A 16,495-nucleotide genomic window follows, 5' to 3' on the forward strand; every position below is an offset into this window, starting at 1 on the left:
GTTCTAAGGATCCATTATATGATGGTGGGGAAGACAGACACTAAATAATAGCATAAATAAGATTTCAGGAAATGATAGCACTGTGTGGAAAATAGAGTAACATGGTAGAGAATATGTTGGGGAAGGAAGGAGGATGGGAGTATTTGATAAAGTGGGCAAGTAGGGGACATGTGAGACTTGGATAATGAGGAACCATCCATGGGAAGATCTAGGAAAGCAATTCAGGCAGAAGGAACACAAGTGTAGGAGGCCTGAGGTGGGGATAAGCTTGGCATGTTGAGTAATTTAACACCCAGTGTGACTGAACAATGTAAGCCAGGGAAGAGTGGAAAGCAATGGGGTGTTCTTCGCATCAGTGGCTGCCAGGGAGAGATGTTAATTGTGTACCCTGGCTGGTGGCATTCGGAAATAAAGATGTTGCTTATCCTTGCATTGGACTAATGATGGTCTTTGGAGTAAGATCAGAGTTTGCAGCTAAGCTGAGCAGCTTATAAACAAGTTTTTGAACCTCTGGAGTTTCAGTTTCCACATCTCTGAAGTGGAAGTAATGACACCTACATTAAAGAATTGGTATTAAGTAAGAGATTACAAATTTTTTACAGACATATCATAGCTGCTCAATAAGTGGTAGTATTTGTGTGTGTGTGTGTATGCGTGCACACACCCATGCACTTTGGTTTCATTCTTGCGGTAGCAAAGGCTTTTAGTGCAGTTTCTGGTATTTTTCTGTTGCCACATATGTTTTTGCTTAAATTTTTTTTTTGAGATGGTGTCTTGCTCTACTGCCCAGGCTGAGTGCAGTGGCACAGTCATGCCTTACTGCAGCCTCAGCCTCGTGGGCTCAAGTGATCCTCCCACCTCAGCCTCCCAAGCAGTTAGGACCACAGATGTGCACCACCACGCCTGAGGAATTTTTAATTTTTTTGTAGAGATGAGATCTTGCTTTATTCCCCAGGCTGGTCTTGAACTTCTGGGCTCAAGCAGTCCTCTCGCCTTGGCCTCCCAAAGCATTGGAATTATTTTGAATTAAAAAATTCTGTGTACTAGGAAAGGGAAACAAAATAAAAAATTCTGTGGCAGTATTGATTGGTGAATTGTCATTTTTTTCTGTTTGTTTGTTTTGAGACAGGGTCTCATTCAGTCGCCCAGGCTGGAGTGCAGTGGCATGATCTCGGCTCACTGCAGCTTCCAGCTCCTGGGTTCAGGTGATTCTCCTGCCTCAGCCACCCAAGTAGCTGGGATTACAGGCATGCGCCACCACGTCTGGCTAATTTTTGTAATTTTTTTTTTTTTTTTTTTGAGACAGAGTCTCGCTCTGTTTCCCAGGCTGGAGTGCAGTGGTGTGATCTCTGCTCACTGCAACCTCTGCCTCCTGCGTTCAAGCGATTCTCCTGCCTAAGCCTCCTGAGTAGCTGGGATTACAGGCACGCACCACCACACCCAGCTAATTTTTGTATTTTTAGTAGAGACGGTTTCACCATGTTGGCCAGGTTGGTCTCGAACTCCTGAGCTCAAGCGATCCGCCCACCTTTGCCTCCCAAAGTGCTGGAATTACAAGCGTGAGCCACCTTGCTGAGCCACATTTCCTGTTTTTTAAATGTCTTTTTTCATGGTCTTTTATAAAAATGAAAATATGTAGATTTTAGAACAATTTGACAAGAATAGGTAACAAAAGTACACTGCATGTTTGTAAGTGATATCCTTTCTATCACATTTTAGACCTAATTTTGGATCTTGAGTTTAGAATATATGATGCTGTGAGAAGTTGCTCCATTATGTATTCATTTGATAAAATAACTTTTGTTCATATTTCTTTACAGAAATGTTATGAACAGAAGCAGTACAAAAATGGCCTCAAGTTTTGCAAGATGATTCTGTCGAACCCAAAATTTGCTGAACATGGAGGTATTGTCTCATGTGAGAGATTGCTTTAGGGAAATCAAATTCTAAAACCAGGCATTAACAGTGAAAGAAGAGTATTTCCCCGATTCCAGGGCCTTGCAGTTCTCTATTAGAGTGCATAAATGTTCAGCATTTTTTTAATGCTTTATATGAGTCTTCTAGATTACCTGTATTATCCTTAAGTATGTATACTTAAGGATAAGATTAGGATGGTTCGTTTATCTATTGGGGAAAAAATTGGAGAAAGTATGTATCAGTATTTTTATGGACCTGATTTCCTTTATTACTTTGAATAGAATTTAAAGTTTATACCTTGGTTTCCTGTGTGTAAAATTAGGACAAAATTTGCAATATAGAAGTATGAAGATATGGTCACCTGCACTTTATTCTTTGGTAGATGTGTTTTGTTTTGTTTTTTTTTAGTATGTGCTGACGTTTACATATGATATTACTAATTTACCATTAGATTGTATATTTTGAGTTGTTTTCTAACACTGGTGTTAATAAAGTTTGTATTTTCTGGTTGTGTCCTTTTTCAGTAACAGCCAGTGTTAGAAGGGTGGATCAGGATAGACATGAAAATAATGATCCTGTAGCATAGCAAAGCTGGTTGAGATTACTCAGTATCAGACTTGGATAATGGTTGAGATCATCTTATTGGGAAAATAGGCTGACCTTGCTCACTTTTCCAACAACATTTAAAAGATTCTTTGAAGGAAATGGAAAGAAATCTTCATTTCATAGAATTAATTTTAAAGCTTGTTTTCAAGCTTTTTAGCTGTGGAAGCTTTATCCAAATGGTGCCTGTGGGAAAGTTCAATATGTAAAACAGATAAAAGGTGTTGGAGCGGGGTTTGGGCCACAGGATCACCATGTTCTGAATACCATAGAGTTTGAAAATCATTCTTCTTGTGTAATTCCCTTCTTGTGGATAATTCAGAGAATTATTTCATCCTAAACCATCTTTTATTAACTTCCTTACATGTTTTTTGTTGCCACTACCATCATCCAGTGTTGTGCTGTTGAAATGTGAACTGATGTTAATTAGCCTAAGTATAATTTGTTGGAATAAACTTGCTATCAAAAATGAAGTCTGTTCCAATATTGAATAAAGTGATTAGTGATTTTTAAATTATGTATTTGTCTTTATTAAGGTAGATTGAGTGTTTTTGTGTGGTTGTAAATCAGATTGATGATTGATTAGAATTGACCTTAGGTAAGAGCTGTGGAACTGCTATGGTAGATTTAATTCCATTAAGACTCATGTCTGCTTTGTAATTTTTTTTTTTTTTTTTAAGACAGAGTCTCGCTCTTGTTGCCCAGGCTGGAGTACAGTGGCACAATCTTGGCTCACTGCAACCTCTGCCTCCTGGGTTCAAGCAGTGCTCCTGCCTCAGCCTTCCAAGTAGCTGGGATTACAGGCACATGCCACCATGCCTAGCTAATTTTTGTTTAGTAGAGACGGGGTTTTGCTGTGTTGGCCAGGCTGGTCTCGAACTCTTGACCTCAGATGATCCACCCGCCTCAGCCTCCCTGAGTGCTGGGATTACAGGCGTGAGCCATTGCACCTGGCCTGCTTTGTTAATTTTTTCAGCAGAATAATATCAACCACTTTTACAGAGTCTTGTGAAGGGCAGAAACCATTTTAGCAACTCTGAAACTAAGGAATTTCAGAAAAGGACTTGGGCTGCTAAGCTTTAAGTAAATATTTAAATGTAGTTTTACTTTTTCTACTTGGAGAGAAGTTCAAACTGTGAGATTAAAAAGATGAATTGGAGCCATAGTAATCCTTCAGATCTCAACTATTAAAGTACTATTAAGAGAATAAGAGAATAATTTTGTGTCATTTGTAAATAGAGTTTAAAAATTATTTTTCAGAGACTTTGGCTATGAAAGGATTAACACTGAACTGTTTAGGAAAAAAAGAAGAAGCTTATGAGTTTGTTCGTAAAGGACTTCGTAATGATGTCAAGAGTCATGTCTGTATCCTTTTGCAGTAGTTAAATAGTTTATGTTTTAGCTAGTTTTTTCCTAATTCAAATTAAATTTGTACTATGAAAATTCCAAACCTACGTAGAAGAGAGAATTTAATGAACTCTGTGTATCCATTACTCAACTATAATCATTATCAACATTTTGTAATACTAGTTTCTTTTTTGCTTGTGCCCCTCCTCCTATATTAGTTTCATTTGTTCCCTACCCCGTGTTTATTTATTGGAATATTTTAAAGGAAATCTCTATAAAATGTGCTTACTTCTGTTGTGCTTAGTGTTGGAGAAAAGTTACTTTGGTAATTGTGACTTGAAACCCATTTTTTTCTTAAACATAATTAACTGGGTAATACTTTCCTGTTATTCCAAATACTGACTTTTAGTTAATCATATGTTAAAATTTGTGTGTCTTAAACTTTCTTTTAGACATTTGAGAAGAAAAACTTAAACTTATTTTAAAACAGATTTTACTTAATATATAAGTATGATATTGGTTCTTGAGCTTGGTTTCTGTTAACACAGAGACATAGCTGTTACTTAATTTGATCTTTATAATTGTGTTTTTCTTTGGGTAATATCCCAGTGTGTAAAAAAAAATTTTTTTTTGTTTTTTGGGGGGAGGGAGTCTCACTCTGTCACCCAGGCTAGAGTGCAGTGGCATGATCTAGGCTTACTGCAACCTCCACCTCTTGGGTTTAAGCGATTCTCCCACCTCAGCCTCCCAGGTAGCTGGGACTACAGGTGTGTGCCACCATGCCTGGCTACTTTTTGTACTTTCAGTAGAGATGGAGTTTCGCCATGTTGGTCAGGCTGATCTCGAACTCCTGACCTCAGGTGATCCACCCTCCTCGGCCTCCCAAAGTGCTGGGATTACAGGTGTGAGCCACCATGCCTGGCCAAAAAAAAATTTTTTTTTAAAGGGTGGAGCATTGAAATTGATTTTCATTTTTTTTTTTTTGCTTATCTGTATGTTTATCTGCATTTTTTTTCACATATTGCCCTTGCATTTTAGTTTGTTAACATGTAATTCACTTAGCCACGTACTGGTATTGAACACGAATAATCTTAGTAGTGTTTTCACATATTTAGCTTAGAGTTTTCTCAAATTACTAAATACTTATTTCTTTATCCCAGTGCTTACCCCAGAGTGAAGAGAAGGGCATGTAAGTATGATAGTTTTGTGGGGCTTTTGGCTCCAAGATATGCTAATACTTTAATTTATAAGAAATACAACTTATTTTTTGTGGCCTTTAATATAACTAGGGAAGTAGGTGATAGTTACACATTACTTTAGAATTGGTTGACTAAATTTGTTTCAAAAAGTAGTTGCAGTTTTTGTATATATTCTGTTTCAAGACATCATGATGAAGAATAGGTGAATGTTGAAGTTGCTGGGGTAGGAAAGTGATGGGATAGAGGGTAGAAAATGTGAAGAATTTTTGCTAAGAATTCTTTAAGGTTACTTAAAATATTACAGAAAATTTCAAACATGTACACAAGTAGAGAGAACAGAATAATGACCCCTTTCCCATGTGGCCATTACCCAGGTTCAGCAATTTGACAATTATCAACCCAGCCTGCTCTGGTTTCGTCTTTAACTTCCCCTCACCATTCCCCTCCCCCAGACTCCAGATCATTCTGAACAAATCCCAGGCAAAATACCATTTCCTTAATGTAACTTTTATATTAGATATGTATCATAGAATATTCTAGTGTCTGTGTATGTCTTTGTTTCCTTAACTTAATAGGTTGGCATGTATATGGACTCTTGCAGCGTTCTGATAAAAAATATGATGAAGCTATAAAATGTTACCGAAATGCCCTCAAATTAGATAAAGATAACCTGCAAATTTTGAGGGATCTCTCACTGTTGCAGATCCAAATGAGAGACCTTGAAGGTTACCGAGTAAGTACTTCATTCTTAAATGTACATGATTTTACAGTAGACAAAATTTAAGAGCGTGTCATTTCAGAATGAGGTGAGCATAAGCCAAAATCAAGTAGATTTGATTGTTCATTAGAAGGTGTATGTCGCTTGGGACCTTCCTTCTCAGTCATAGTTGTGGCACTTTGTACTTGAGTATTCAAAAAGAATAACTGGTGGGGTGTGGTGGCCCACGCCTGTAATCCCAGCAGTTTGGGAGGTTGAGATGGGAGGATCGCTTGAGGCTGGGAGTTAGAAACCAGCCTGGGCAACATAGGCCAGACTCCGTCTCTACAAATAAGAAAATTAGCCCGGTATGGTAGTTTACACCTGCAGTCCCAGCTATCCAGGATGTTGAGGCAGGAGGATCCCTTGAACCTAAGAGTTGAGGCTGCAGTGAGCCATGATTATGCTACTGCACTCCAGCCTGGGCAAGAGAGCAAGACTTTTTCTCAAAAAACAAAACAAAAAAAACTGGTTTTTAAAACATTCTTAATTCATTAATTATTTAAAAATTAGAGACAAGGTCTTGCTATGTTACCAAGGCTAGTCTTGAACTCCTAGGCTCCAGTGATCTTCCCACCTCACCCTCCCAAAGTTCTGGGATTACAGGCATGAGCCACTACGCCTGGCCATAACTGTTTAACTGGAATATCTATGTGCAGCTGCTGTACTAGATTATTTGTGGGTTTGATATTTACAAATTTGATAAACTAATAAGGCTTTTATAATGGAAACCTAAACATAAAAGTAGCTTTTAAAAATTATTGGTTAGTAAATATTTTAAAAACGTGAGAAGGGTTGCCATAAATCAGTCTTTCTGTAGTTGAGACCTCTTCAGATTTGCATCTTCAACTCTCTCCTGGACATCTCCATGTGCTTAGTCCACTTCGTATCCTAGAATCAGTATGTCCAACATGGAATTCTCTTACTTACTTATGAGAAGGAGGCCACTAGGTTCTAACAGTTTTCTTTAAATACATTATTTATATACTTCTTACTTTTGCCCTCTACTGCCATATAAGCCCTCATACCCCATGCCTAGATTTTTGCAGCCACTTTAAGGGCTCTGCTGAACTTACTATAATAATAATGGCACCACTCTTCAAAGCGTGTATTTTTTTCTTCAGCTGTGTTTAGCAGCTTAGATGTGGTTGGAGTTAAAATCAGTTATCTTTAGGAATGAGGCATAGAAATTAAGAATATTGGCAAAACAATGGCTGCTAAAGTGGATTGTGAAGTAAATTAAGTTAAAAGAGAGCTAGGCTTGGTATTACGTGTCTTAGTCCTGGCTACTTGAGAGGCTGATGTAGAAGGATTGCTTGAGCCCAGGAGTTTAGTCCAGCCTGGGCAACATAGGGAGACTCTGTCTCTAAAGAAAAAAAGGAGAGCTGGTGGTGAAAGTGTGAAGGACCCAGGAAGTACAGACACTGGTGGTCAAAGAACAAGGGTAGGAGTGTCATCAAATGATAGTGTTGGCAGCATGGGAGCTGTGGGTAGAGAGTGAGATACCTAAATTTATGATTTCTGGGTGGCAGTAACTTCTAGGGTGTGGCTGTGGGAGTGGGCCTCTGAATGGGGTGGAGGAGAAAATCATTAAAGATTAGAAAATCTTGGGATTTAGAGGATAGGTTGTGGGATGGGTGATACACGTTAGTGTTGCATTTGCCCAGGGTAACGCCAAGAGTTGGCAGAGAAAATAATACTGACCTAGACTTTAATAAAGGATTTGGGAATGACAGAGAAGCAACAGTAAAAATAAGGGATAATTAGATGTTTGGGTGTTTCGCCTGGCTGTGTCTGTCCTGTGTCTGGCCAATTATTACAATGTATTTACACTGTAAATACATGTAATTCATATAATAGTTTTATAAGTAGCAAAATGTAGTTTAATAAAAAACCATCTTAGTCTTCTTACAGAATATTTAGTTACCAAAAAAAAAAAATTCTCATTATTTAAATGTAATTTAATAAGGCAGTCCAAAGGCATGGGCCCCAAAGATGTTTCAATGACAGCCTCACAGTGAGTATTACAGGGTATTGTAGAACTTTAGTATTTTAGGTAGGAAACATAAAAAGTACTTCTATTTTATTCTGAAACTGATCTTTGTTGATATAGTTCATTAGAAATGTGTTAAAGGTTAGATTGTTTTCTTAAAACTGATGAAATAATGTTTTAGAGAATATTTAGCAAGTTAAAACTTTTTTTTTAGGAGACAAGATACCAGCTTCTTCAGTTGCGCCCCACACAGCGTGCCTCCTGGATTGGATATGCTATTGCATACCATTTGCTGAAAGATTATGATATGGCCCTAAAACTGTTGGAAGAATTTAGACAAACTCAGCAAGTAAGAATTTTAATGTTTCCTTCTACCTTCATAAATGGAGTAGTTGACTTCTAAATTGTCCCTGCTCTCAAATGTGAATTAAAGTATTTGAAACCTATGGAAAACGGGAAAACTTTTTGACGTAATTGGAAACAGTTAAAATGTAGGATTATTTTTCTCTCTCTTTTTTTTTTTTTCCGAGACGGAGTCTCGCTCTGTCCCCCAGGCTGGAGTGCAGTGGCACGATCTCGGCTTGCTGCAAGCTCTGCCTCCCGGGTTCAAGCCATTCTCCTGCCTCAGCCTCCAGAGTAGCTGGGACTACAGGCACTCGCCACCACGCCCGGCTAATTTTTTCTATTTTTTAAGTAGAGACAGGGTTTCACCGTGTTAGCCAGGATGGTCTCGATCTTCCGACCTCGTGATCCGCCCACCTCGGCCTCCCAAAGTGCTGGGATTACAGGCGTGAGCCACCGCGCCCGGCCATTTTTTTTTTTTTTAAGAGACGGGGTCTTGCGATGTTGTCCAGGCTGGTCTCGAACTCCTGGGCTCAAATGATCATCCTGCCTCGTCTTCCTAAAGTGCTGGGATTACAGGCATGAGCCACCACGCCTGCCTCCACGTTTCAATGGAGAATATTCTACATGTGGATTCAGCTGCAAGTTGATGGAGATGGTGTGGATTGAGTCACTTCACTTAGAGTTAATCCACCAACCTTGAGTCTCTTTTCCACTCCTCTGTTTATCTGTCATTTCATAATCTTGACCCTGTCTGGAGTTTTCCAGGACAGATAGGCATTCTCTGTAGTAATTTCCTCTTTATGGATACTCTAGACTTGAGCTTCTTCCATCCTATTTCACTTACTCCTCCTTTGCATTCTGTTTTCTAGAAATTTGTTGAAATCTTAAATAGTATCTTCTATTTATGGGTTTTTATATTTTTTAATCTGCTATTTTTACTCTCTTAAGGGAGGAAATAAACTTTGTAGTAAGGCCACCGTCTTTACTTAGGTTTTTAGCTTTTTACGTCACACCAGAGAATTGATTAGACTGGTTCTTTGTTTTTATCCAAGAATCAAGTTCTGACCAAAAGATAGTACTGTATCACATTTGGTGGACTTGATAAAAAACTTTCCTTTGAACACAAAATTATGACATTTTGATGGTTAGATTTAGGTGTTTGCAATTTCTTTCTTTCTTTTTTTTTTTTTTTTTTTTTTTTTTTTTTGAGACAGAGTCTTGATCTGTCGCCCAGGCTAGAGTTCAGTGGTGCAATCTCGGCTCACTGCAACCTCCGCCTACCAGGTTCAAGCAATTACCCTGCCTCAGCTTCCCGAGTAGCTGGGATTACAGGCCCCCACCACTGGGTCTGGCTAAGTTTTGTATTTTTAGTAGAGACGGGGTTTCATCATGTTGGCCAGGCTGGTCTCAAACTCCTGACCTTGTGATCCACGTGCCTCTGCCTCCCAAAGTGCTGGGATTACAGGTGTGAGCCACCGTGCCCGGCCAATTTCTGTTTTTTTTTTTCCTTTACTTTTTTTCTAGAGACAGGATCTGACTGTGTTGCCCAGGCAGAAGTGCTGTGGCTATGCACTACAGTCTTGAACTCTTAGGCTACGACTAGGACTTGAACTCCTAGCTAGGACTGCTCCAGAGACTGAGGCAGGAGGCTAGCTGGGACTACAGGTATACCACTGTGCCTGACAATGTTGTGTTTTTTTTTTTTAAGACATAATGCTGCTGCATGGTTAATAGACTATAGTGTAGTGTTAATATAACTTTTTTAGTTTAGTTTTTTTTTTTTTTTTTTGAGACTGAGTTTCACTCTTGTTGCTCAGGCTGGAGTGCAGTGGCGCAATCTTAGCTCACTGCAACCTCCACTTCCGGGCTTAAGCGATTCTTCTGCCTCAGCTTCCTGAGTAGCTGGGATTACAGGCATGTGCCACCACGCCAGGCTAATTTTGTATTTTAGTAGAGACGGGGTTTCACCATGTTGGACAGGTTGTTTTGAATTCCTGACCTCAGGTAATCCACCCACCTCAGCCTCCCAAAGACCTGGGGTTACAGATGTGCGCCACCGTGCCTGGCCAACGGAACTTACATGCACTGGGAAACCATAAAATTGTGTCACTCACTTTATTGTGGTGGTCTGGAACCAAACCCACAATATCTCCAAGGTATACCTGTAATTGATTTGTCTTCATTGATATTTTATTCTGTGACTTTGGTAAACACTTTTATTAACTCTAGTAGTTTTTTTTTTGTAGATTCTATAGTATTTCAACCATTTTTATATTTGTATGTAGGATTTCTTGACCTGTGTCACTTGGGAATAGACAGAAGTCCCACCCTATTATTTGTTTTAAATAATGCATTCATTTTTTGTGTTATTAATCACTCTTCTGTTTGTATCTGCTTGTGGGTTGCTTTCTTGTTTATGTGAATGACTCTCCTGAGAAGGCAGTTTAATTAAAGGTCTGTAACTGCTTTATATAATTATACAAATAAAGTAATTTGGTCATTTTTTTTCAGGTTCCTCCAAACAAAATAGATTATGAATATAGTGAATTGATATTATACCAGAATCAAGTGATGAGAGAGGCAGATCTGTTGCAGGAATCTTTGGAACATATAGAAATGTATGAGAAACAAATATGTGATAAACTTTTGGTGGAAGAAATTAAAGGTAAGTTGGCTTGCCTTTTTTTAATAGCCTCAAACAGAAAACAAAAAAACTATATATTTTATTCTCTCCTAAGTCTTACGTAACAGTTGTTATGTATCTGGCAAGGTTCCAAACACGATTATTAAGCCATTATTAACTAGTTTAATCCTCATAACAACCCTATGTTGTAGTTATTATATCTATTTTGGAGATGGGGGAACTGAGAGATTGAGTAGCCCCAAATCATACAGTTTAGTAAACTGGAGAGTGCTGGATTTGAATCCAGATTTCATTCCCTTAAGCAGTATATTACACTGCCTTCATATTGAATATGTATCTCTGTATATCCATATATAGTTAATTAAATACAGTGAGAACCATAACTGATGATACTGGGATCATCATGAACACAAAGGTCATTTATTTTCATTATGGGCTAATTATGAAGACAGGATCCCTATAGTTTTAACAGCATTCATCAACAAGGGGTCAAACAAAAATTTTCACAGAGCTTTGCTCATTAATTCCCTTTCCCTGAGCAATAATGTATTAAATTGAATGTCCAGCTAAAATAATAGTTTAGAACTAAAGTTCCATACAATTGTAGAACCTCTGAAGTCTGAAGCTCTTAATAAAAATAATAGCTAATATAGATTTTAAAACTCTTCTTCTATTTGAGTATGGTAATTGCTTAAATTGCTTTATTTCATTTAATTTTTTAGCACTTTTAAGATGGATGCTATTTATTAACCCCATTTTATAGTGGAAGAGACTGAGGCTTAGAGAGGTTAAGGACTTGCCCAAAGTCATCCAGCTTTTTAAGTGGTAGAGTTATAGTTTCCAAGCACATCAACACATTCCCTGACTTCAGAGCCCTTACTTTTTTCTAAAAAATAGACATTTTCAGGACAGTTTTAGGTTCACAGTAAAATCTAGAAAAAGGTGCAGAGAGTTCCCATATATCCCTGTATACCCACAGCCTTTCCCACTGTCATGCTCTATGGGTTTTGACAAATGTATAATGACATGTATTCACCACTGTAGTATTATACAAAGTAGTTTCACTGCCCTAAACATCCTTTGTTTCACCTTTCCATCCCTCACTCCTGCAAACCCCTGGCAACCACTGATCTTTTTACCCTCTACATAGTTTTGCCATTTCCAAAATATCATATAGTTGGAATCATACGGTATGTAGCCTTTTCAGATTGGCTTTATTTTTGCCAAATCATCTCTTGCCTGAGAAAGATTGGCTTTTTTCACTTAGTAGTGTATGTTTTTTTTCCCATACCTTTTCATGAGCGTCTTACTTTTAACTACTATACTCTTTCTGGTTAATGTATAGTACATGAGTGATTTAGTTTTTATTGTAATTCATATTAATGACACTTTTAAAAGTTATTGATAAAATATGGGTAAATAATTAAATATTCTGGTTTCTATCTTGTTCTGTTACTTATTGATGGTAGCAAAGAGGAAAAAAGGCAATTATTTTCCTTTCTGAAATATTATTGTCATTTCCTGATTAAATCTTAACTCAGGTTGCTGTTTCTCTTTTTTGGTATTTGTCCTGTAGCATCAATAGGAAATGCATTCAATATAATCCATATGTGAGATTATTTAATCTTAAAAAAAAAAACAAATAGGGAATGCAGTTAGGTTAGATTATTTAATCTTCAAAATAAAAGCAAATAGGGAATGCAGTTTTTGAAAAGTAAATATGGTACAGTGAAATTAATTCAAGTTAGTATACACCGTGAATGCATTCCTCTAGTAATAACCTTTGCTTCATGGTAGTAGCAGATAACAGATGTTTTTTGAAATGAAAAATACGCTGTTGTCTATTATATCTGGGATAAGCAGGGTAAAAATTGGCCAGAAGATAATCATGGAGGAATGGGGCATGTTTAAAGTTTTAAGTAGCAGACATTTATATGTATTCATTTTGTGACAGGCAGTGTGCTGTCACAAAGGCACTTTCTCCACGTCACAAAACTAGTTAGTGGTGGAGTTGGTAATTATTCCTAGTTCAGTCTTATTCTAGAGTTTGAGTGATATATGATATAAAAATAGTAAAAAAAATAGTACATAAGACCTGCTATAATATACTGCCTCCTCCAACATGATGAAAGCAGAAATAGTATGACTTGAAGACATTTTAAAGGGTTATTTGAAATAGATTGTTTGGGGAATGGGTAATCTTGAGGGCAGGAAGCTGAGGTATGTTCTTTTTTGAGAATCTCCCCTTTATCTTGGATTAGGTGTGTTTCCATCGTATTTGAGAGGTCTGGGACCTCATTTTCCACACCACCTCTTAATTTGTGTGGCTTAGTAAAAGGATTTGACCTTTTACCAACCCGCTGAGCTGACCTGTACATGAACATGGCTTGTGTGGTTTCCTGTTACAAAGTGGTGTTTAGTGTTATAATTTCACTGAGTTAAACTTCTCCAGTTTTAGTGACCTTGAAACAATGAGAATTGAGTGGAGAATTAATATATGAACTGATAGGAAAGATATATTTAAATCTTGTAGTAGGAAGATAGGAATGTTTCACTAGCATTATTTGCCAATCTAATTTTGATGTGTTTGTGTGTGTCTTTACTTATTTCAAAGAGTATAAGATGTGTGTAATGCAAAAGTTTTTTTACTAACAAATTAATGTCCTATGTATTTGTTTGGAGTGTAAGAGGGAGCCAAAAATAAAGGTACAAATGAAGGTTCACTTCTGAAGGCAAGCTATGCTTAGTTACATGAACTGCAACATGCCCAAAGGGGAAGCATACAGAGTTCTGTCTTTTTAACCATCTGTTCACTGATAATGTTTAGTGAAGTCCCTGGGGTCAGATAGATATTTAATGTTTAAAATGAATATGTCTTTAAACTTAATTTCAGGGGAAATACTGTTGAAATTGGGAAGATTAAAAGAAGCCAGTGAAGTGTTCAAAAACTTGATTGATCGAAATGCAGAAAATTGGTGTTATTATGAAGGCTTGGAAAAAGCTCTACAAATTAGTATGTAATGATTTTTCTCCTCTTTCTCATAACTACTGATTGAAGTATAATAAAATGTAAAGTTGTAATAATACTTGGGAACAAATAATTTTAGCATTAGTACTCATTTTTCCATTTAGTAAAATTATAGGTTAAACATGGGAGTAAAAATGAATTCAAATAGTTACACTTAAGTGTAAGTGATTGCAGATATGTTAGGTTCCTTGACCCTTACCTGTGATAGTATTGGAAGGTGAGGCAAAAATAAAACAAAGCCAAACCAAAACAAAAAAAACCATACCAATTTAGAGTAGGGACATGGGAAAGAAAATGAGCATTCCCTTTCTGGGAAGTGTTGTAACTATTTAATATTTTAAAATCATTAGAGATTCATTACCCTCAACCTCTAAATATAAGAATTGGGCCAAATAATTATTGTTGAGGATATTTGCTTTGATTTCAAACTAGGCTAATTTGTGTAGAGCAAAATGTTACATATCTTCCTTTGAAATTTGGTAACTTTGACCCTTTTCAGAACTCTAGTGTCAGTCCAAGATTTTTGTAATATTTTCATAATTAAGTGTTGGCAGGAACTGTTAATATTCCTAAAATCATATTTACTCATGAATAAATATATTCCTGAAATAATTATGAAGTTGGCTCAAAGATGTTGAAACAGCAGAATTTTTTTTTTTTTTTTTTAGAATTTTTAAATTTAAAAAGTTTGGTAAATAGGTAGCTACCCACATTCATTTATAGTAGTATAAGCTACAAGAAAAGTTTAATTGTTGTATCCTCACTGGTATTAATTCTGGTGTTCTTTTTATGTTTAAAATTTAACACTACAAATTGTTAAAAATTTAGTTTAAGAAAATGATTAAAATCACAATATTGATTAAAGTAATAATCTGAAGAAAACAGCAAAGCTCATATGTGTGAAGGCTGAAAACATGGGTTAACTACGATTTTTCTTTAAACTAGTAACATTACGATTTATAAAAATATTTTCATGTTTTACTAAAATGAATAATATGTTCCATATGTCAGGATTCTTGGTTACTATAAAATGTATTGATTACAAAACTAATTACACTATTGTTTTAGGTAACTTATGACCTTTCCTTCCCCGTGGTAAGTTCTGGAGCTCCAACTTGTGACTTTAAGTAGGATTTATACGGCTTGTTATATCTAGGGTAGTGGATAATTTTTTTTTTTCATACTTGGCGCTTGTTGTTCTCTACGATTAGGCACGAACATGAGAGTATTTTTAAAATACTTATATGCAGTTCATTTATGTGTTAGTATAAGGGTCTTTAATATTTTGTGAAGTCTCCAAATCATTAACAGAGAGCGAGGTTTTTTTTTGTTTTTTTGTTTTTGTTTTTTTACCCCCCACACATATCCTTGGTCTTAAAATCCAACCACATTGGAGCTCCAAAACATATTACTGGGGGAAGGAATGCGTCTAAACGAGATCACACCTCTTCAAATGTGGTGTTTACAATCTTGATGCTTGATATTAATCTTGAATATCAATACTTATAAACTACATTTACTACAGAGATACCTTGTCTGCTAGCACCCAGGGTTATTCTTAGGATAGTTATTTTTCTGTGGTTTAGACCACAGAATTTGGATTAAAATCTACTTAAAACTTTATAGTTCAAAAACAGGTTTGTTTGCTTTTTCTTAAAATTCCACTATAAATTATCTTATTGCTTATAAATCTCTTTGTGAATTATGCAGGATATTATTTTAGAAAGATAAACTATACCCAGATCCTATTTGCTTGCTTATTGTTGTTTCAGAGTAACATGTAGTTTATGTATAGATACATCCTTTATGTGGTACTATAAAATTAGGTGTCTCTTGGGTGGGAAGATACAACTTTCTGTTAGAAGTGTAATTTATATCTTTTGGAAGGATAATGGAGTTTCATTGAAGATTTTAAGTGTTAAAGTTAACATGGAAGTTTAGTTTATCTTCTTATATTTTAAACATTTGCAATCGTAATCCTAAAACTGTTGCTCCTTTGAGGCTTTTATGGGGATATATGTAGGTTTCTTTGATTCAGCGTGTTTACGTAGGTTATGTTATTAGACCTACGTTATAAAAAGATTTTCTTTTCCATGAGTTGTATGCTAAAGGAATATAGAGAAGTGCAGCATATCTTGAGTCTGTGATGGCTTGTATATGTGATTTGGGTTGTATTTAGAATCTTGCAATGAGAGAAGTTTTGGATTTTTCTGGAGATGAGTTTAAAACAGTGACTTAACTGATTATAGTATTTTGCCACCACAGAGTTTTAAATGTCATTTTTACCAAAATTGAAAGCAGCTTTAATATTGTTAATGCAGTTTTATTTATAACAAAATTTTAGAAGTTTGTTAGCATTTTACCATAGATAAAAGTTTTGATGCTATGAATCTCACCCATATTTACTGATAATAGGCACTTTAGAAGAGAGGCTTCAAATTTATGAAGAAATTAGTAAGCAGCACCCCAAAGCAATTACACCCAGAAGATTACCTTTGACTCTTGTCCCAGGTAATATTAAGATGTCTTTTATAATATTAATTATTTGTCAGAATTACTCAATGTTATTTATATTTTAGAAACGTGTTTCTGGTATAGAGTTTATGTTTACAGCAGTCTTGGAGTTGGGAGTGAACAGTTATGAGTTTATATGTTAAGAGTG

At 36.3% G+C, this 16,495-nt stretch overlaps 1 protein-coding gene across 10 annotated transcripts in view; it reads left to right on the top strand.

The window, feature by feature from the left end:
• The window catches only part of NAA16 (N-alpha-acetyltransferase 16, NatA auxiliary subunit), a 65,764-nt gene that overhangs the window by 3,759 nt on the left and 45,510 nt on the right, over positions 1-16,495 (top strand). For 9 of the 10 annotated variants that reach the window (NM_024561.5, XM_006719866.4, XM_011535228.3 and 6 more), the window contains exons 2-8: positions 1,821-1,905; positions 3,781-3,885; positions 5,642-5,799; positions 8,031-8,165; positions 10,673-10,826; positions 13,699-13,818; positions 16,249-16,344. In NM_024561.5, coding sequence (NP_078837.3) covers positions 1,821-1,905; positions 3,781-3,885; positions 5,642-5,799; positions 8,031-8,165; positions 10,673-10,826; positions 13,699-13,818; positions 16,249-16,344 — 853 coding nt within the window. Of the gene's footprint in view, positions 1-1,820; positions 1,906-3,780; positions 3,886-4,827; positions 5,057-5,641; positions 5,800-8,030; positions 8,166-10,672; positions 10,827-13,698; positions 13,819-16,248; positions 16,345-16,495 lie in introns of those variants that run through there. The other variant, XM_047430610.1, reaches the window with a different exon arrangement.

Source organism: Homo sapiens, chromosome 13 (genome assembly GCF_000001405.40).
Source record: "Homo sapiens chromosome 13, GRCh38.p14 Primary Assembly".
Taxonomy (NCBI): Eukaryota; Metazoa; Chordata; class Mammalia; order Primates; family Hominidae; genus Homo; species Homo sapiens.